General features: G+C 39.4%; 1 protein-coding gene and 1 long non-coding RNA gene across 11 annotated transcripts in view; one reads left to right on the forward strand and one right to left on the reverse strand.

Moving 5' to 3' along the window:
* Nucleotides 1-22,470, forward strand: part of PTPRB-AS1 (PTPRB antisense RNA 1) — a 103,372-nt gene that overhangs the window by 40,958 nt on the left and 39,944 nt on the right. Inside the window, exons 3-6 of one of the 2 annotated variants that reach the window (XR_001749196.2) lie at nucleotides 1,176-1,248; nucleotides 4,149-13,594; nucleotides 16,324-16,390; nucleotides 18,639-18,702. This is a non-coding gene — a long non-coding RNA (PTPRB antisense RNA 1). The remainder of the gene's footprint in view (nucleotides 1-1,175; nucleotides 1,249-4,148; nucleotides 13,595-16,323; nucleotides 16,391-18,638; nucleotides 18,703-22,470) is intronic. The other variant, XR_007063360.1, reaches the window with a different exon arrangement.
* Nucleotides 6,834-22,470, reverse strand: part of PTPRB (protein tyrosine phosphatase receptor type B) — a 121,560-nt gene continuing 105,923 nt past the window's right edge. For 5 of the 9 annotated variants that reach the window (NM_001330204.2, NM_001109754.4, NM_001206971.3 and 2 more), the window contains 2 exons: nucleotides 15,435-15,555; nucleotides 6,834-12,475 (listed from right to left, as the gene is read on the reverse strand). In NM_001330204.2, the coding sequence (NP_001317133.1) occupies nucleotides 12,453-12,475; nucleotides 15,435-15,555 (144 nt within the window). In that variant the 3' untranslated portion in view covers nucleotides 6,834-12,452. Of the gene's footprint in view, nucleotides 12,476-15,252; nucleotides 15,556-22,470 lie in introns of those variants that run through there. The other 4 variants (XM_011538614.2, XM_006719528.2, XM_006719529.5 and 1 more) reach the window with 1 other exon arrangement.

The following is a 22,470-nucleotide window of genomic DNA, read 5'->3' on the forward strand; positions in this document are numbered from 1 at the left end:
TTTAAAGTCAACAACAAAAAAACTAATCATGATAGCAAGATCCTTAGAACTGATCCAACATGCTGCAGCTCCTTTGTAAGCAGATGGCCTGGTTAAGAACATTGCTGTGCCAGGCGTGGTGGCTCACGCCTGTAGTCTCAGCACTTTGGGAGGCCGAGGTGGGTGGATCACGAGGTCAGGAGATCGAGACCATCCTGGCTAACACGGTGAAACCCCGTCTCTACTAAAAAAATACAAAAAATTAGCCGGGCGTGGTGGCTGGTGCCTGTAGTCCCAGCTACTCGGGAGGCTGAGGCAGGAGAATGGCGTGAACCCGGGAGGGGGAGCTTGCAGTGAGCCAAGATTGCGCCACTGCACTCTAGCCTGGGTGACAGAGCGAGACTCCGTCTAAAAAATAAAAAATAAAAACAAAATAAAGAACATTGCTGTGTTCCTTGGAGTTGCCAATCAGTTTGACCTTGAGACCTCATGAAGATGATAAGCCATAGTGTCTCTCCTTTTTCTCTCTCTGTGGAATGAGATTACCTGGAAATGAACTTTCCTAGTAAAGTTTGTCAGACTTATATCTAAAATGTTAATCTTCAGTGCTTTTAGAAGAGAAAAATTTTAATCAAAAGGGGGAAGTGAGAATAAAAAATAGCTCAGATAAGTCTGAACTATGTGAACTTTGCAAAATGTGTCAGGCCCAGGGAGACATGAGTATGAGACTTCAGTCATGCACCCATTCCATGCCTAAATGCAATTGCTCAAAGGCATATTATTCTTTCTTTTCTTACCTGTGGTTTTCTGACTAGCTGCCTCACCCATTATCTTCATGTTCCTGGGATTTTTGATACAAAGAACAATGTATAGCAAATCAATAGTTTATGTTATTGTCATTTCTTGGTAAACAACCAAGGAAGTGCCTCTTCTTATTTCTTTTTTCTTTCTTTCTTTTTCCTTGGCTATGTCTTCTGCATGCCTGTTCTTTTTTCCTTTAAAAGCCCACTTGTAACTGCTGTAAAGTCGGGACATATATTTAGGGCAACTTGAGTCCATGCTTCTGGGTTTCAGTCTTCAAACTTGGCCCAAATAAACTCTCTCCTTATGTTAATTTTGTCTGTTTTTTCTTTAGGTTGACATGTCCTAGGGCAAAATTACTTACTTTCTGTATGCCTCTGTTTCTTCATTTATAGGATTATGTTGGCTCGGAGAATGATACCTCAAAGGCTGGTGCTGAGAGTTCTTAGAAGCTGCTTCAGAATCAAGGTTTAACCGTGTTTCTCCCCTTCCCTTACAACCCTAAGCTCAGGGAGGGACTCTTTGGATTTCCTTATCTGATGAAGAAAGCTTTCTAAAAGAAATTCTGTGGTCTTAATCCCCCTCCCTAAGGATCTCTCCAGAGATCAACCACTGGAGAAAAGATACTAGGAGTCATCACCACATCTAGACAGAGTGCTGCTCCAAGAGATTAACTGAGGGATTTCATCTGCATAATAAGTCAACCTTTTTTCCGGGCGCAATGGCTCACGCCTGTAATCCTAGCACTTTCGGAGGCCCAGGTGAGTGGATCACCTGAGATCAGGAGTTTGAGACCAACCTGGCCAACTTTGTGAAACCCTGTCTCTACTAAAAATACAAAAATTGCCAGGCATGGTGGTGCACGCCTGTAATCTCAGCTACTCGGGAGGCTGAGGCAGGAGAATTGCTTGAACCCGGGAGGTGGAGGTTGCAGTGAGCCGAGATCGCACCACTGCGCTCCAGCCTGGGTGACAGAGCGAGACTCTGTTTCAAAAAAAAAAAAAAAAAAAAAAAGACAATCTTTGTTTCTGTGCAGCTCTGCCCCTGTAATGTCTACTTCAACTTCCCAGGTCCATTCATTCTCCCTAATGGTTTATTGCGCCTCAAAAGAATTGTCTACATTCCCTATCTTCTCTTCTATGAAAAAGGATATATAAGCTTCTATACCATACTGGGTTATAGAGCAATCACTGTGATTTTCCCTCAAGCATGTTAATAATTTGTATGCCTTTTCTCCTATTAATTTGCCTTTTGTCAGTTGATTTTCAGCACATCTTCAGAGGACAAAGAAGCAGCTCTTTTCACTCCTACAATGGGAATGATAATCTCCACCTTATTTAGTTTTAAAAGAATTAAATGAGATAATGCAGCTAAAGCAGTTCAGAATAAAACCTGACATGTAGTAATACTAGTTGCTAATGATTATTAAGTGCTTATTATGTGCTAGGGCTCAAAAATATTACATGTTTCTATTCCTTTTTGTCAAACAGGGCATGTTCAAAGAGTTAAATTTGACAGATGAGAATCTACAAAGCAGGGAGGTTGCCCAAACTCAATACTGAATATCATGCATCAGAATCACCTTGGAGGACTTGTTAATAAAACACAGATTGCTGGGCCCCATCCCCAGATTTTCATATTCAGTAGGACTGGAGAGTGCTATCTAAGAATATGCATTTCTAACAACATCCCAGGTGATGCTGATGCTGCTGGTCTGGGGACCAAACTTTGAGCTACGTGGGCATAGAGGTTAAGAGGTCACATTTTGAAATCAGAAGGATTCATATTGGAAGCTGAGCTTTAATACTAGATGGCCTTGGGAAAATTACCTTGTCTTTTTTTTTTGAGATGGAGTCTCACTCTGTTACCTAGGCTGGAGTGCAGTGGCGTGATCTCGGCTCACTGCAACCTCTGCCTCCCAGGTTCAAGTGATTCTCCTGCCTCAGCCTCCCGAGTAGCTGGGATTACAAGTGCATGCCACCACGTCCAGCTACTTTTTTGTATTTTTAGTAGAGACAGGGTTTCACCGTGTTCGCCAGGATGGTCTCGATCTCCTGACCTCATGATCCACCTGCCTCAGCCTCCCAAAGTGCTGGGATTACAGGCATGAGCCACCGCACCAGGCCTACCTTGTCTTTTTAAGCTTCAATTTCTTTGTCTCCAAATAGGTATAACAACAAGAGTTGTATAAAGAGTTGAATTAGATGAGACATATAGAACATTTGGCACACAATTAGTGCATAATGTGCATTAGCCATTGTTCCTATTCTGCTAAATTTTGGGCCACTCTCCAGTCTTTTCTGTGCATCTACCTCTGTATTTGTAAAGTGAGGATATTAATCTGTATTGTATGGAAGTTGAAGGCACTCAAAAATAGCCTCAGGTGCCTTTTATTTATTATTATTATTATTATTATTATTATTATTTTTAGACAGAGTCCTGTTCTGTCGCCCAGGCTGGAGTGCAGTGGCACGATCTTGGCTCACTGCAACCTCTGACTCGCGGTTTCAAGCGATTCTCCTGCCTCAGCCTCCTGAGTAGCTGGGACTACAGGCACCCATCACCATGCCCAGCTAATTTTTGTATTTTTAGTAGAGATGGGGTTTCACCATGTTGGCCAGGATGGTCTTGATCTCCTGACCTCGTGATCCACCCACCTCATCCTCCCAAAATTCTGGGATTACAGGTGTGAGCCACCATGCCTGGCCTTATTATTATTTTTAAACTTATTTTTGGTTCAGGTTTGTTATCCAGGTAATCTCGTGTCACAGGATTTTGCTGTACAGATTATTTCGCCAAGTACCTTGGGTGCCATTTAAAAGTAAAAAGCTCTGTCTAAATCAGTGGTCCCCAACCTTTTTGGCACCAGGGACCAGTTTTGTGGAAGAAAATTTTTCTATGGACTTGGGGGGTGGTGGAAGGAGGGGGATGGTTTCAGGATGAAACTGTTCCACCTCAGATCATCAGGTGCTAGATTCTCATAAGGAGTGCTCAGCCTAGATCCCTCACATATGCAGTTCATAACAGGGTTCGCAGTCCTTTGAGAATCTAATGCTACTGCTTATCTGACAGGAGGTGGAGCTCAGGTGGTAATGCTCTCTCACCCATTGCTCACCTCCTGCTGTGCAACCTGGGTTTCTAACAGGCCACAGACCAGTACCTATCTGTCGCCTGGGGGTTGGGGACCCTTGCTTTAAATGTTACAGCTTTTAATGACCATCCTAGAGGTTGAACTTCTGGTCCCCTTAAACAGGTCTTGGAATGTCTTCCTCTTGGGTTGAATTTGAAAATCCTCTGCTATTACAAGAGGTCTAAGACTCCTAATAGCTCTTTCAGACCTGACTCTCACCTTTAATTTTACTCCCCAGTTGTCTTCTCCTCATAGTCCTCCACTAAAGCCTGAACAACAAGGTAGGACCATTCGTTTTATTTCCCCTTTTGTCCTGGCTCATCTTTCTTTATTGCTGATGTGTTATTCTTTGCAGGTAGACAGTTGTTTCCTCCCCCTGCTATCTGTTCTGAGTCAGGGAGAAACGTCAACTTGGGTGACGACTAAGTTAGTGGTCATTGCAAAGTTCTTTAGGAAAAAAAAAAAGTCTTAAAATGTTTAAATTTATATGTCTTACAAATAGTATTATCTGATTAAAGCATAGACTTAGAAATATTCCCTGGCTTCTGAACTTCTCCACTCTTATTGCACTTTGTTTCTATGGTTGTATTGTCAGCTTCTGTGATTTTTTTTGTTGTTGTTGTTTACTGTAACTCTTTGGCAAGCCCTAAGATACAGAAACTTCTTGGCCACCAGTGGTTTGCAGCAGGATAATAGAGATAGGAAACATATTTCATTGCCAATTCTTTCTTAAGATGTAAATAGATGCCAAGTTTCTTCCAGGGGCCAAAGAGGAAAGTACTTTTATATTAAGATAATTTACACAAAGGTTGTTGCATCATTAAAATTGTTGAAGAAAAATTATTCATGACACTTGTTAAAGACAGCAAGGCAGGCTTTATTTAAGAGGGGCCGTAGTAGTAAGTATAAGGACATCTGCAATGGGGTTTTGCAGTAGGGGAGAGAAATTGGACTCATCTTCAACTTCAGCAAGGACAAGTGGGGATTAAATTAAAAAGGAAAATTAAGCTTTCCTATTTAAAGCAGGAGCAGGATGGGAGGTCAGTGAATGAAAACTCACTAAGAGGAGGAAACATCAGGGGTAAAGGGAATTCCTGCTGAAGGCAGGCCAGGGTGATAAGATATCAAGGGTGGTCAGGTACCTCGGTTGGGGGATTTTCACTAACCTGACTTTAAACTGGAGTCTACAAGGACAGAGAGGGAAGCCCAAGGATGGGCCTAGTCAGGCAGAGGACACTGAGGAACCTAACTAAAGTTTTGGTCAAAGGAGAAGTTATTGTCACAACAAATCCTAGAAAAAAAGCAAGCTTCATTCATATCAGCAGTTCTCTATTATAATAGTAAAATTTTCCTTGGAAAATACTGGATTGGGAGATATTTTAGTGAGCACGGCCTTTGGGGTTTGTTACCTCCTTTGGGAGGAGGTAAATGTTGGTTAACTTCTATACAGAACCATCCCTGCGTGGTTTTCTCTTACTATTCAGGCTTGGATTCTACCAGTTAATTTTTACTCTTCTATTATGAATGCTCCTTTCATCAGCAGCATCAAAAGTCTTGCCAGGTCTCTGAAAATCTAGCTGTAGAAACTTCTGGATTCTAGAAGGTTTGATACAATTAGTTTCAATAATGTTTTATAATAATATTGTGTTAGAAAAATCCTGCCTTTTCCTTTTATATGTAATATTATTTCAGATTTCAGACTGTGATGACTTTTGTTCAGGTATGACTCTTAAATACAGCCTGAGATTTGTTTAATACATGGGTGTTTCCAGACATATGAGATACCAAAAAAAGAGGATTAACCATGCAAAACATTGAAGGTTCCACTGACAGTTCTGCCTTAGTGTTGGAAGTAGCTATTGTGTACATTGGCTTCTGAGCACCTTTCTTAAACTCCTGGCCTCGAGTGATCCTCATGCTTCAGCCTCCCAAAGCACTGGGATTACAAGTGTGAGCCACTGTGCTGGCAATGAGCAGCATTTTTATTTGTCTGTATTTACATATGAACAGGTCCTCCCCCTGAGTAACAGGAAAACCAGGTTTGATTTCAGCATTGTCTTATTTTGCTGTATTATTTTTATTTTTATATTTTATTTTATTTGCTGTATTGCTTTTAAACTTGTGTCTTGGTTTCCTACATTCTTGGTCCCAAGTTGGCCCTTCCAGCTCTAATATTTTATGATTATGGAAGATTTATCAGCAAAATTACCAAGTGATTAGTTCAAATTGCAATACCCTCTTTTTCTTTAAGAATAAATTCTGTCAAATAGCTACTTTGGAAAAAAAATCTAGCTTCATAGATGAATTTATTTTGTTAACCTACTTCTTTGAGTCCAGAAACTGTTTTAAAAGGAAGGATTACTTTGATTTAATGATTTTATTTGTAAATCTGCTACTGTACATTTTTTAAAAAAATAAAGGTTTCTGTGAACAAGTTATAGAAAAATGAAATATTGGAGTTGTGAAGGACAGTGATCTTTCCACTAAAATATGAAAAAGGCAAAAGGGCAAACTCATAACTCTGGAAATAGTCATGGCGTCTCTTTACCAAATGCCACACTGTCCGCAAATGTGTGAAGTGTCTCTGAAGGGCTCAGTGGAAATCTAGCCAGGGCAGTACCTCTGAGAGTACACCAACACTGTTGGTAACAGATGACATTTTGGTTATTAATGAAGTAAAGAACTGAAAACAGGAATTTAGTTGGAGACGGTCAGCTGGAGAGTCTATTATTATGTACACAATACTGTAGGTAACCAACTCAGTACTTACAGGACTAAAGGTTAAGACAACTATATTCTTCATGATAATGTCCTGGAAGATTTTTCTCATTTTAAAGCAGTCACTTTTGGCCTTTCTCCTGAACAGACAGATGACAAAAATTGATAAATGAGGAGCAGGTGAATAGAAGACAGAGCACTCTCCTTCAACAAACTGCAGTTTTATTCCTGTACTAGTGAGAATGTATGCAAGATGCTATATAGATTTTTTTTTTACCACAGTTACAAATATAAAAATGTATTAAGCAAATACATAATTTAAATTGAAAGACTAAGGAAGTTCTTTGTTCAAATACAGTTAGTTAGAAATATTGTGGGTAGATGCTATAATATGAAAAAATAGAATCATCTGCCATCTTAACTGGATTTTCAGAGAAATAATAAATGATATTAAAAACATAAAAGTGCTCTATTATAGAACATAAAAAGTTCAGTTGCTGTATTTACTTACATTATTTATGCTTCACACAAATGAAGGAATGGCTAGATTAACCTGCACGGACAACAGTATTATTGGACACTGACTACCTAACATCCAAAATATCAGGCCAGGAGCAATTTCAAGAAGTGTGTGTAGAATGTCTATGAGCTGTGCACTAATTTCCACAAGGTAGGAGTCGAGACGAGATTAAAGACTTGGTCCTTGTTCTTGAGGAATTTATAAGCCCAATAGTCCTGCATAGAAAACCAGAAATACTCTTCCAGTAGAGCACTGGTGCACCCTCTTGTCAGTGTGGCAGACTAGGACATTCCACAAAGGCTGGTACAGGCTTTCCTACTAACCTGCAGATGGAATGCTGTCCAACTCTGCCACAAACTCTTAAAGCCACAATTTCATGTGTTCCTTTCTTGATGGAGGTGCTTATCTACGCACACAGCTATTAGAACATCTCAGCATAACTGAACGTTTGTTCTTGGGGTGAGGATATTATTTATTAAAATAGCTATAACCAATTCTTTTTGTGACTGTTCTAGAAGGGACACATTGCATTTGTCTGACATTATTCACAGTTTTGAATAACTTATTTTGGTGTCTTATATAAGATCATGTGAATTGGCATAGAGGTTATAAAAATAATCTTTGGTAAACCTGTTAATCTCTTATTTCCATTACATAAGCCTCTATTTTCAGAGCATTCACCAACAATTTCTTTATTTAATAAGTGTATCTTATATAGACAATCTTTTAAAAAATAAAATGCCTTATTTGTGTTGCATACATTTATTCCGAGGGAGCCTCCCTACAAGTCAAGAGTATTCTCTTAGCCAGAAATACTTCTATTGCTAGAAACATTTTTAGAACAGAACAGATTTTTCCTGTTATCATGGCTGCATCAAATGTTACCCTGCATTTTAACTAAAATGGCCAAACATTTTCAAAGTCATCATGCACTACAAGAATCTAAGGCAGTGTGTCTAAAATGCCAAACCCAGTACATTTAGTTAAATATCTGGTCAATTCAAAAAGCAAAATAAATTGATTCAATTGTTTAATCAGTTAAACCATCTGGCCAACATAGAGTGAATCCTCAAAAGGGCAACATGTCCTAATAGAAACGTGTGACAGGATTGTCCAAGCACACCCAGGCCACACAGAAGAGATGCCATTTTATCTTCATGATGATGTCTGGTTAGATTCTGTTTTGCAAATATTTTCTCTTTGCATCATTTCACTTGCTTTTTGCAGTCATCGTTTACAGATTTTCCTTTGATAGGGAACATTCTTTGAATACCTGATGTAATTCTAAATTTCAGGTTAAAAATAGCAGGGCAGAAAATTAGCACGGCATTTTCTCCTTCAACTCTTCAGGAATGAGGTAGGCTTGAGGGCTTGCTCACTGCAACTTGGAGGAGGATCAGTTATTCCTTATTGCCACTCTGTCTTGGCTAATCAGTTATATTTTCATTTCCTCAGTGAAATGGAACCCAGAAAGCCCTTGAACTGCTATCATATACAAGCAGTTTATTACCTATTGATTTTCACCAGGTCAGGTTTGGTCTGGCTCATGTTTGTAAACTAAAACTCTAGAGCGTCTCAGAGTTTGGGCTCAGATACTACCACTGCTGTTGTGCAGATCTGGTAGCTTTATGATTTCAGGATTCCAACCTCAAAGAATTCTTAGAAAGCTAAGTGAATGAGAATTTAGTATATGGCCAATAATATTATTGCAAAAGGTAAGGAAAATGTTTAACATAAGAAACTGGATCCTTAAACAGCAAGGCAAGAGAATCAGCATGTGAAGGGTAGCATGTGAGGTCTATTTTTATATTGCTGGACATCTGGTAAATGGTTTAATATTATTTTCACATGTCATTTTGGGCTTTCTTCCGAGAGGTGATTACAAAATTTATCAAAGACCCTCCCAAAGAAAACTGCCCCGAAAATGTCTGTGTGCTGTGTGCCTTTTAGTATTTAAAAGTGAATTGGCCAGGTGCGGTGGCTCACTCTTGTAATCCTAGCACTTTGGGAGGTTGAGGTGGGTGGATCACCTAAGGTCACGAGTTCAAGACCAGCCTGGCCAACATGGTGAAACCCCATCTCTACTAAAAACACAAAAATTAGCCAGACATGGTGGCAGGCACCTGTAATTCCAGCTACTTGGGAGGCTAAGGCAGAATCGCTTGAACCTGGGAGGCGGAGGTTGTAGTGAGCTGAGATTGTGCCACTGCACTCCAGCCTGGGCAACAGAGCAAGACTTCATTTCAAAAAAAAGTGAAATTATGGTCATCTCTTTGATGATGTGGAACCTGAAAGGACTATGAAATTATACTCATGGGTATAAAAGATAATATGAACAGTAGATAAAAATCACATTCAACTGGGAAAACAAACATATTCAAGTAGGAGGAGTGGGGCAAGTAATAAAACAGAGGGACTCAGAGGTTTAAGGGATAGAGAATTACTTAGGACAAATATGTGCAAGCCCAGGTAAGAGAGGTGAGTCTTTGAAAATTCTGATTCAAGAGCTGAACAATTGGCTGCTTTCCAGAGAACAACAGAATGACAATACAAAATTGATTTAATGAGATGAGGTTAAAGGAGTTAATTATAACGAACTTGGAAAAATAATTATTAAGATGCTAGATGGGACTCTCCCAAGATTTGATAGCTCAAAAGCACTTTGAAGTCTTGATGATTAAAGTGTACTGCACAGGTACACAGACAGGATGCCCACCAAGACAGGAAATGGAGTGTTTACCAAGACATAACACATGATGCAATTAAATGGAAATAAATCCAATAGAGCTGAATGTCAAGGAAAACTTTTTTTTTCTCCTAAATTTAATAAATAAGTCAATTATATATTTAGTCTTCCCAGGAGTAGGAGCGAATAGTGAAATATTTGTTGCTAAGAAGGTTTAAAATTAGGTGTAGGGTAGGAATAAACATTTCCTGGGTTGGATTAGACTAAAAAAACCTACGATTTTTCCCTGTCATGTCCATTTACATAATTCTGATACTACCCTAGATGTTGCCAGAGTACGTGAGTGTTATTTACTATTACAGATGCATAGGTTTTTTTTATGGTTTTAACTCCTGGTTTGTGCAATTAATTGCTCTCTCTCCTAGATCCAGAGGTTTGCTATTAAAGTAGCATTAGCACTTTCCAGTGTGTGGCCTGTGGAAGGTGACCACTGTCCTAGACTGGCTCAGTTATCCCATTCCCTTGATGAGGCTGTCTTTTAAGCTCAATTGAAGGTAGTAACAACAATCCTAACTTTATGAGGATTCTCTTTATGTGAGTAGAAATGTGTAGATTCTGGAACAGTGCCTAGCAGGTTGCAGATACTTACTAGAAGTTTTCTGAGTGAATGAAAAGTCGAAAATGAATGTATCCTTCCAAGCATTAATGTGCTTTGCATCAAGCAACATTAGTGTAAAATTCTGCTTTTTCTCTTTTTTCTTTTCAATGTAGGAAAGGTGATTTCTAATGGATGCCACACGTTGTAGATCTCTGACCTCTATTTTCTCGCTGGTGGTACATCTACTGCACTTACACATATGTTGTTCCTTTTCATTTCCAGAAGATTCACTTAGTTCCTTGATACAGAATCAGAGCTTAAGACTGTCATTTCACAAGAGCATTGAGCACAATGAAACTGTGAATCTTTGAAGCTTATGATTATGCTTCACATTTTTGTAAACTTCAAATAACCTTGGAAAAATTTCCAGATTGGGTGTAGAGTTATTTAATTATAAAGAACTATTTTAGGTATAGTCAATGATTTTCAATTATTATGTCAATTACATTCGTTGTATTCACTTACGGACTTTATGGTAGGTTACAAAAATATATACTTTGAAAAGAAATATACTCTTTATGCAAAGGAAGCTATGCCATCAACAAACTTGACCTCTAATTCCCAAGTTTATTACAGAAAAATTTGTAGTGTGAAAAAGGCAAACATCTCCAGCTCATCTTCTCAGGTATCTATGAAGATTCCGTACAAACTCCTTTCAAATTTTTCCCAGGAATGCTGTCGGAACTGGACCTTGATGAAGGAAATACTTTCTGACTCATTGGAATTTGTTATAGTCAAAGTAAGTAAGGCACAAATATTGAAGATAAACTTGGTACAGTATGTAGTGCCTTTTGTTATTAAATGCAACTTTGGGTGATTACTTGACATTTTGACTTCATTGATTTACTAAAAGAAGTTTTGAAAATTTTACTGAAGACCACTGTTTTTGTTTTTGCTATTGTTTTTAAATTTACTATATATGATGTTTGTAGTCATTTCTATGAAAATGTTGGCATTAAGCCTTTTAATGAGGGGCACAATCTGCTACCATAATATTCTTTTAATGGGAAATCAAGTAGGAATGGATAATTGTGACTTTTCTAGGAATGGAGACCACTGAAAATGAGACAGAAACTAGTGTGTATAAATACATTACAGTATGGGTGTGGATGTTCACACTCCACACCATGAATGCAATGAAAGGATCTCTAATCACTGTAGATAGTGCTTTGCATGTTATGTTTCCAGTCTGGGTATAGCTGGCATCTTATTAACAAAAGGAATTCATCACTTCTGTTTGGAATCATTCTCTATCAGAACCCTCAACCCTGCATCCTACCATCCTGGGCTTGCACTGCAAGTTACATGATCCCTGAGCTGACCACTTTGGCTTGAATCCCTGGAAGGAGAAAGGAGAGAGAGAGCAACTAGTTCAGACACAAGCATCTAGTTCAGCTTTGGTACTGCTTAATTCTTTTTTCTCCCTCCCTCTAATCCTTTTTTTGACTGTCACATTTGTCCTAATAGCAAGTTAGGACATGTCTGTTGGCTCTCGAGATTCATGGGACAGCAATGCAGCAAATCTAGCCATAGTATTTGCTCTCTCTAGCCCTGCCCTTTTTCCTGTCCAGTGAATATCAAAACAGGTAGAAAACATGGCCTGAAGGATTGTCTCTGCCACCACCTCCATATGCATTTTACCAGTAGTCCTGTCATACAGGTTGAATTAGTTTTATGTAGAACAAGTCATGAACACTTTAGTGTGGAAAAATAGTATTATATAAAGCTTAATATTAAACATTATGAAAAATACATATTTACAGAAGAAACTACAAAATACAACTATGTACAATAATATCTGTTACCTTTAAATTATATAAAATTTTAAACATTCTCCAGATTAATAAATTATACATAGTATCAACAGAAATAGCTGGCACCTCTGTAGGGCATGAAGCAAGTTTTTAAAAACAAATCACACAGTGAATAATTTTTATCCAGGAGCTCTTCAGGTACATTCTCAATGCCTTGAATAGACTGGATCTGAAAGGAAGAACACTGTAATTAGAGACTGCCGCAGGGTGTGTCATAATTGTTTACGCTGTTTATGAAAATTACCAATGTGAAAGACCAGCAGAAACATATAGCTCAACCTAGTTTAAGATGAGACCATTCCTATTGGGACCAGGTAATTCCATTTAGAAAGACAGATTATTAGACTTGGAAGGGACTAGTGATTCTAGCCCATCGCCTCTGTTTTTATGGATGAAGCCATAGGCCCAGAGAGGCAGAGTAACTTACTCAGGGTTACACAGCTTGTTACAGCTAGTTAGTTCGAGAGTTCGGACCTGAATCTTAGCCTTCAGCTACGTGGTGGTTATCCTTTTCTATACCATAGTTAGCTTCTTTCAGGAGTGCTCAAGATTACTCTAAAAAAAGATTCTTAAGTCAAAACAAGACAAAGGAACCTCCAAGATCCCTCAGAACTTGCTCATACTGAAGCCTCTTAAGGAATCTCCCATGCAAAAACCTTAATTTACTATACAGATCAATTAGGGTGTAATTTGTAATTATTCATAATACAAAATAATTATCTGATTTACAAAGGACTCCTCTAAATAGTAGCTCTTTATTTGTGCTTTACAGATGCTAACTCATTAACATACTGGCTAGGCTGGGTGGTAGAGAGAACTAAGTAAAAGGTTAGGAGACACTACCTGTTGAAGATCATTTAGAATGGAGATAAGAGGGTATGAAATAATGTTTGTCAAAGAAAGATTATCTGATTTATAGAGAGATACCAGTCCACATGGCAAGGAATTGTGGCTGCATCTGCCCACAGCCATGTGAACAAGCCATTATGAAGCGAGTCCTCCAGCCCCAGTCAAACCTTCAGATAATGGCAGCCCCAGTCTAAGTCTTGACTGCAACCTCCTGAAAGACTCTGGGCCAGAGCCACCAGTGAGACAATAAATGCTGATTTAAACTGCTAAATGTTGGGGTAATTTGTTAGGCAGTAATAGATAACTAATACAATCCTCCTTCACATTTGCAGTTTGCCTATGTGATAACTTAGGTCTTCACGATGGCCCAGAGTAAGACGACGCAGGAGGACCCTTCTAGTCATTTAATTATTGCTTGACCAGAACTGTGCCTTGTAAGGTTTGTGTTTTTTTTCTATTGAATTTCCCACTTGAAAAGTGTTATGTGCTTATTCTAGAACATTTATAAAATACAAAAAAATAGAAGGAAAAATAATAATTTTTCTAATGTTCAGGGAAATTTATATTTTCTCCAGTCTTTTTCCTTATGCGTTGTTTTTGTTTTACATCCTGCTTTTCTTTATTTAGCTATTATAACATCCTCAAAAATAGCATTCTTTTGTTTGTTTTTTCTTTTTTTTTTTTTTTTTGAGATGGACTCTTGCTTTGTGGCCCATGCTGGAGTGCAGTGGCATGATCTTGGCTCACTGCAACCTTCGCCTCTCGGGTTCAAGCAGTTCTCCTGCCTCAGCCTCCCAAGTAGCTGGAACTACAGGCACACGTCACCATGCCCGGCTAATTTTTGTATTTTTAGTAGAGATGGGGTTTCGTCATGTTGGCCAGGCTGGTCTTGAGCTCCTGACCTCAGCTGATCACCCACCTTGGCCTCCCAAAGTGCTGGGATTACAGTCTTGAGCCACTATGCCCAACCTGTTTGTTTTTTGAGATACAATCTTGCTCTATCACCCAGGTGGAGTGCAGTGGCACAATTACAGCTCACTGTAGCCTTCAACTCCTGGGCTCAAGTGATTCTCCTGCCTCAGCCTCCCAAGTAGCTGGGACTACAGGTGCACACCATGCCTGGTTAATTTTTAAATTTATTGTAGAGAAGGGGTCTCACTTTGCTGCCCAGGCTTGTCAAACTTTTAGCTACAAAAAGCTTCATGCATAATTTTTTTTTTGTTTTGTATATAGTGTGGTAGGAGAAATACAGGGTCACAAGATAAGAACATATGAAGGACCCTGATACCTTGATTGACAAATTATTTTCCAAAGGGATTTTACAATTTGAACTAGTTGTGATTTCAAAGAATCCTCCCCAAGTAGTAAAGCTTATTGCTTGGAAAAGAAAGGTTAAGCAGAGTCCTTCATAGCAGGCATCCTCAGCTAGGCTGGAAGAGATACCTTGTGAAACTGCTGCTCAGCTGCAGGAACCCCCTCCCTACCCTCCCTCTCTTCCCCGTTGCCACTCTTTATGGGTAGGAGAAGAAATGGGTGGTGTACATTGGAAGAGCTTTAGGTTATTAATGGTTTCCAGAATCTTTTTCTTTTTTCTCTTTTCTTCTCCCCTCCCCTCTCCTCTTCTTTTCTTTTCTTTTTTTTGAGACAGAGTCTCGCTCTTGTTGCCCAGTCTGGAGTGCAGTGGTGGGATCTCGGCCCACTGCAACTTCTACCTCCCAGGTTCAAGCAGTTCTGCCTCAGCCTCCCGAGTAGCTGGGATTACAGGCGTGAGCCACCATGCCTGGCTCTTTTGTACTTTTAGTAGAGATGGGGTTTCATCATGTTGGCCAGGCTGGTCTCGAGGTGATCTGCCCGCCTTGGCCTCCCAAAGTGCTGGTATTACAGGCATGAGCCACTGCACTCAGCTAGAATCTTTTCTTTCTTTCTTTTTTCTTAGAGGCAGGATCTTGCTTTGTCACCCAGGCTGGAGTGCAGTGGTACGATCTCAGCTCACTGTAGCCTTGACCTCCCAAGCCCAAGTGATCCTCCCCCTCAGCCTCCCAAGTAATTGGGACTACGGGCATGCACCATGATGTCTGGCTATTTTTTTTTTTTTTAGTTTTTTGTAGAGATAGGATCTCCCTATGTTGCCCAGGCTGGTTTCAAACTCTTAGGCTCAAGTGATCCTCCTGCCTCAGCCTCCCAAAGTGCTGGGATTACAGGTGTAAGCCTCTATGCCTGGCCAGATTGACCATATCTTGATGAAGAAACTTGGGGAAGTAAGTGAAGTAAGTGCCCACCTCTGTGATACTCTGGATTCACATTTTCATAGATTGGAAACAAGGGGTTTTCTTGTTCACTCCGTAGCTTTCTTGCTCTGAGGACATCTCTTACACACTGATGTAGGTAGACATACTGACACTGTGGAAAAGCAGAAACATGTCAGAGGAGGGCCTGTTCTCATGCATAAGAAAGATGAGAAACTCACAAACTGTTGACAATGATGGGATTATATAGTTAGCAAATTTCTTGAACATCGCTTCACTAATGGTCTCTGGTAAATAAAAGAGTGACTGTCTTTTATTACCACTGAAAAGAGAACAATGGTAATGGGCAGAGAGGTGGCATTTTTCATTCTTTTTATATATATATGTGTGTGTGCATATATGTGTGTATATATGTGTGTATATGTGTGTATATATGTGTGTATATATGTATATATGTGTATATATGTGTATATATGTATGTATATATGTGTGTATATGTATGTATATATATGTGTATATATGTATGTGTATATATGTGTGTGTGTGTGTGTGTATATATATATATAAAATATTCTGTGAGAGCCTACAACTGTGTCTAGTACGTAGTAGGTCCTTTACAAATTGAGTAGATGAACAAATGCCGGACACTCCTATGTAGCTTACGTAAATTACCTCATTTAATGATTTCAAAAACCTTGTGAAGTAAATACAATTATCAGTACAAAGTGAGACTCAAAAGTAACTTCTCCAAGGTCACACAGCTAAGAAATGGGGCCCTAGGGTTTGATCTTGGAGATGTGACCTCAAAGTTCATGTCTTTTTCACTACACCAGTTTTCTTAGATGAATCCCAATTTCATTGCATTACTGAATGAGAAAATCATTTCACTGCATACTCTGCTGGTTTGTTCCCTTTATTCTAGGAAGATAGTGAAAAAAAGGAGGTGTGTACAATAAGCCCCGCTGGACTGTTAGTTCTTTGAGTGCAAGGTCAGTGTCTTATCCACCTCTGTTCTCTCAGCATCTGGGTCTGCCACGTGGAAGAATCTCAAAGATGTTGGCTAACTGCAGAGAACTACAAGGGTTACATAGCGAGGACAGACCCATCTGTTGGCTATTTAAGAATTTACTACTTTTGAAATATAAATAGATATAGAAGAGTCAGTGCTTTGGTGACCATAAAGACCTCCACTGCCACTGTGTCTCAGCCACAGGCAGCCAAGCTTGTGCATTGGGCCCCCTTCCTTATACTCCGTGAGTTCTCTTATAAGGAAATTGATTTCTGCGGAACCTTCCCTTGCTGATAACTTCCCTTGCTGAGCAACTGCTCAGAGGGAGTTGTGAGCAGTGAAGGAGACTGGGCTCTCAGCAGCCTCCAGCCAGGCCAGGCTGAGCCATCAGGCTTCTGGGGATCCCAGTTTCCCCACTTATTAAACAAGGAGGCAAAGGTCTCTTTTATAGCTAACATCCTTTGTCTATTAAAGGATATAGATTGATGTCAGACAGATAGATATTGAAAAATATTTCCAGACCTTGTGTTTAAGGCAATCAGTGTAGTCAGTCTTAAAAGTATTTTAGAGGTTTGAGATACAAAGTAGAACAATTAGCTCTTTCCTCACTAACAATCTTTCCAAGTAAACAGGTACTTATTTTTATGGGTTGGCACTAGATACTGTCCCTGATTGGAACCTAGCTTGGCCAGCTATCCATGGGACTATATAAGGTAGGTCTGGTATAATCAATAGATAAGAACATTTAATTTAATTAATTTATTTATTTTTTAAGAAACAGGGTCTTGTTCTGTCGCCTAAGCTGGAGTACAGTGACACAATCATAGCTCACTGCAGCTTTGAACTCCTGGTCTTAAGTGATTCTCACACCTCAGTCTCCTGAGTAGTTGGGATTATAGGTATGGACCATCAGGCCTGGATAAATTAAAAAAAAATTTTTTTAGCGACAGGATCTTGCTCTGTTGCCCAGGCTGGTCTGAAACTCCTGGCCTCAAGCCATCCTCCTGCCTTGGCCTCCCACACTGCTAGGATTACAGGTGTGTGCCACTGTACCCAGCCTAGAAAAGGACATTTTAAACAAATCAATAAGAAGTGAGGCCTGCAATAATATTGATAACTATTCTCTGCTTTTCTGCTCACAGACCTTTGTCATTTATTATGAATGTTACATGCAATCTCAATCTTGAAAATCTGAGAAAGGTACAATCTGAGAATGGTTGTTAGTATAAAGCAGTCTCTTTTTGCTACCTTAAAAAGGATCCACCAAATTATAGGCTGACACCTCCCTGTTTCCTCCCACCCAAAGCATAATTCATCTTTTCAGTTCTACTGGGATATTACATTACTTTGGGACTTTAGAGGTAAGCTGTGAATGAACTCTAGTGCATCTGTGCTATGGCCTATTAATAAATTCTTTAACAATGATTCACCGTGGGCTTTGAAACAAGTTAATATCTATTAATTTGCCTTGCCTTAAATACAAATTCTTCCTTTCCCAATAGAACGTCCCTTTGAAAATGATTACTACTAAAACGGTGAGATTGTTAATGTGCTTCTCACTTTATTCTTAATGAAAAGTAGACAAAATATATGAATCTCAGATCACAAAAGATAATTTTTTGTTAACTGGTGAAGGCTTGGCTTAGTGTTCACACATTCAGTTCCATTCAATTTCATCAATATTTGGAGTATTAGATATTATTTATAGTATTACAGTCTCTTTGTGATCCCTGAGTGCATGGCTTAGTATTTAGTGAACAAATACCTATAAGATGCTAAACATCAGATACAATTGTGTATAAGGTTTCATACAGGAGAGAAAGCCATTAGGCTCACTTTGAGGGAAGGAAACTATCAAGCTAAAGAGAAAAGGTGATATTTATAAGAATTCAAGCAAAGAAGTAAGGCAACATAACATACAATTTCACATATATTCTGGAAACCATGAGAAGTCTAGTGCAGCTAAAATGCTGGTTGCATGGGTCATGGGAAACCCCTCGAACAATGCCCCAAATGCAACCTGAGGTCCTTAGTCCTACAACATCTCAGTGTTTCCTTCCCAGGAGAAGCAAATGAGATGATTGAGACTGTGACTATCATCTATTGTTCTTTAACAGGTTATTGCTCCCTTAATGTGTCTCTCAGGGTCAGGCTGCAAATTTCCCTCAAAGCAGCATAAAAGAAGAAGGGACACTCACAAATCCCCTGACCAATGCCTCTTTGTTTAGAAATGCTTGCTGTTTGGAAACTTGTGAAGACCTGCATCCCTTTGTATCTCAAATAAAGACAGAGGTAAGTTGAAGTTCACTGTCACCATGGACCCAGAAAAATAATACAAGGGGTCCAAATGTCCTCTGTCTTTTGCTGAAATAGTCACCCACAGGGGCTCAGCCACAGATCACACCCCTCTGCACCCACTCCCATTACCAAATGCCAGCTCTAGCACCAGGGTTTCTGAGCCTGTAGAAACAACTCAACTTCAGCAGAGGCTTAAAGCAAGGCAGATGATACTAGGTTGATGCAAAAGTAATCACGGTTTTTGCCATTAAAAGTAATGCATTTAAATGCCATTAAAATGCAATTAATGCCATTAAAAGTAATGGCAAAAACCGTGACTACTTTTGCACCAACCTAATACCTGGATAGCATTTGGAATTTTGTTTGAGAAAAAAGGGAGAGAGAAAATTTTATCTTACTGCAATGTTTATTTCATTATGATGGAAAGACTGAAAGTGGATTCTGGCCCAGGTGGGTAAACCTTCCTTAATCTGGCAGACCCTAAACACTGGTGGTGGCTAGTACGATGACATGAAGCTGGAGGAGTAAGTAGGGGCCAGGTTATAAAGAAGCTTGTACCCAGGATGAGGTTTGAACTTCATTTTACAAGCAGTGGTGAGCTTTTCACGATTTTTTTGCAGGGAGCTGGCAGAGTCAGCAAGGGAACTTTGATGGTGGCAGTGGTGGCGAAGGATCATTAGGGCAGAGCTGGAGGCAGGAGACCCATTAGGAGGCTACTCATTAGCAGGGCTAATGAGAGTTGATCAAGGGCAGTGGCAGTGGGATGAGGGGCTAGCTCCAAGGGAAGGAAAGGACTTCGTGACTGCTTGGATGTGGGAACTGGAGGAAAAGAAATCCACTCCATTGAGCCCAGGAGTTTGAGTCTAGCCTGGTGAACATAGTGAGATCTTATCTCCCCACGTAAATAAACAAACAAAAAATAGAAATAATAAATAAATGCACATATCCATGCATGTAAGCATGCCAGGTGTGGTGGTGCACATCTGTAGAAGATTGCTTGAGCACAGAGTTTGAGTCCAGTCTGGGCAACATAATGAGACTGCATCCCTTAAAAAATATAAGAAGTCAGCTCCCTGGCTTGGGCAAACACATGGATGGCAATACTATTAAATGAAACTGGAAGGTGCAAAAGCAGGAGGAAGGTTTTTGTTGTTGTTTTCTGTTTTGAAAGAGAATGAGTTTGACTTTGATCTTTTTGAAGTTAGATGGCTATAAGGCTTTTGGGGGGATCCATCTGGTAGGCGGGCATTTACATGTATGCGGAGGCAGGAGATTAGATTTGGGTAACATGAGCATGTACAGGAATGGAGAATATCACAAAGAATGAAGACTGAGAGAAAGGGTGGTGCCTTGAGGACAAAACCTTGGGGAACTCAAACATTAAGAAGGCAAGCTGAGGAACTATGCCACAGTGTCCTCAGTGAGGCAGGAGGAAAAGGAGAACAGAACAGGGAAAAGATGGAGTTATTTCTAAGGAGAAGGAGGAAGAGGAACATTGTGTTACCTCTGCTCTGAAAGTCAGCCAGTGATATTGACAGTAGAGTCCCTCCTAGTTGCCAAAATGCATTATGAGTTTGGGGCAGGTGTATGGAGGTGATACATGGCCCAAGAATCCTTTGACAATTACTAGAGCACACAAATACACACAGTTTGAGACTATTTACAATACGATAACCTCCTCTTTCCCAAGTTACAAATTAATTAGGGTTTGAGTTTGTGAAAGTGACAATAAACTAACAAAATATTAATGCTGACTTTTTAGCAACATAATTGTAGGATATTTGTTCATTCATTTAAAAGATTAAAAAATATTGAGGATATAGAAGAGGAGGAAAACAGGCTCCCACCCTCTAGGAATGCATAGTCTTGTGGAGAAAGCTGAAGGATAATAATTAATAAGAAGGATAATAATTAATAATTATGATACAGGGTTATATAATTCTGCAACCTTTGATGAAATAACAGCGCTAGGCAGAGGTCATCAGTGGCTGCTAAAACCATTAAGTGAAGGGTTGATGGGGATAATGAAGGGTTCAGGCTGACACTGCCTGAACTCACTGTCAGTTTCCTCAGCGCTGAAAGAGAGACAGACATGGTGATCTGCCTTCTGATGTCATGCAACAGAAAGCCCTCAGCACCACCCATGAAGCATTGAGTTTAATCAGGCCTCTAGATCTAACCACCAGCTGACAAAATCCATGGGGAGTAGAGGAAAAATCCATGGGGAGTAGAGGAATATATTACCACCATGAAAAAGCAATCAGCCACATCTAGAATGTGGGAAAATCTGCCGAAGAAATCAGCTGGCTTCTTTAACAAATAAATATCATGGAAAACAAATGGGAGGGAGGATTATAGATTATAGAAAGATTTCAGAGACACTTCAACCAAATGAAATATGTAAACTCTGGATTCTAATGAAAACCAAATATAGTTTTTTATAAAAAGTAATTTTTTGAGATAATTAGGGATATTTAAATACTGACTGGATATTAGGTGAGATTTAGGAATAACGGTTAAGAAAGACATAGATGTGATAATGACATTGTGGTCATAGTTTTAAAGAGTATCTCAAATATACATATATATGTATACATGTTCACATGTACACACTTATATACCCGTACATATGTATATATGCAATATATGTAATATCACATATGCATACAAATGTACACATATAGGTGTATACATATACACATGCACATATACACATGTACACATATATGCAATATGACATGTATTACACACATACATATATACATACACACGTGTACACATACATATGTGTATATAAGTATATGTGTATTTAAGGATGAGATAATATGATAAGTGGGATTTGCTTTAAAATATTTCAGTGGGATAAGGTCATGGGGTAGGGGAACATTAAATGTGGGATACAGATGGGAAAAGAACACAGAATACTGATAATTGTAGAAGCAGGGGTTTGGGTACATGGAAACTCACTATACTATTTTTCCTAGTTTTGTGTATTTTCTTTTTAAAAATTTTTTGTGGAGATGGGCTCTTGCTATGTGGCCTAGGCTGGTGTCAAACTCCTGGCCTCAAGTGATCTGCCCCTCTCCAGGCCTCCCAAAGCACCAGGATTACAGGCATGAGCCACTGTACCCAGCCATGTTTTGTATATTTTTTCAAAACAATTTCATAATAAAACATTCAAAATATGGTAGAATCATTGTTATAATGAAAGTACTCCCAGCCCAGGACAATAGTGGTGGCAGAGGTTCCTGCCTGCAGGAGGCAATGATGCCATTGTTTTGTCAAATGTGAGTTCTGCAGAATATTTTTAATTTTTATTTTCATTTCTCTGGTTCAATTGTTACTGGCTTGAATGCAGGATATTAATATGTGCTGCACAAGAAAAGAATTCAGGGGTCAAGGTGGTTTTGGGATTAGTGGGTTCAATAAAGCTCAAAGGGGGCCTTGGCTGCAGGAAGCTCTCTTTTTATGGAGCATTGCTGTCTGTGCATTGTCCTTGGGTACTGTGGCTCTAAGAGGGGACACAGAAGCATGTAGAACTTTTTACTTTTCCAACCATGGATTTTTTTTTTTAATACAGAGGATTTTGCTTAGTTACTTGGAGAAAAACTTGTGAAACACGAGGGTAAGAGAATTTGAGCCTTAGAAGGCATTGATGCAGAGGAGTGAATGCTTGGTCTCTATTGAGGAAGAGATCTGACCCTGAGGCTAGTACGCTTATAGCACAATCAAGGGCCCAGGTTTCTCTAGAATAGTGGCCAA

Source organism: Homo sapiens, chromosome 12, assembly GCF_000001405.40.
Source record: "Homo sapiens chromosome 12, GRCh38.p14 Primary Assembly".
NCBI classification, from domain to species: domain Eukaryota; kingdom Metazoa; phylum Chordata; class Mammalia; order Primates; family Hominidae; genus Homo; species Homo sapiens.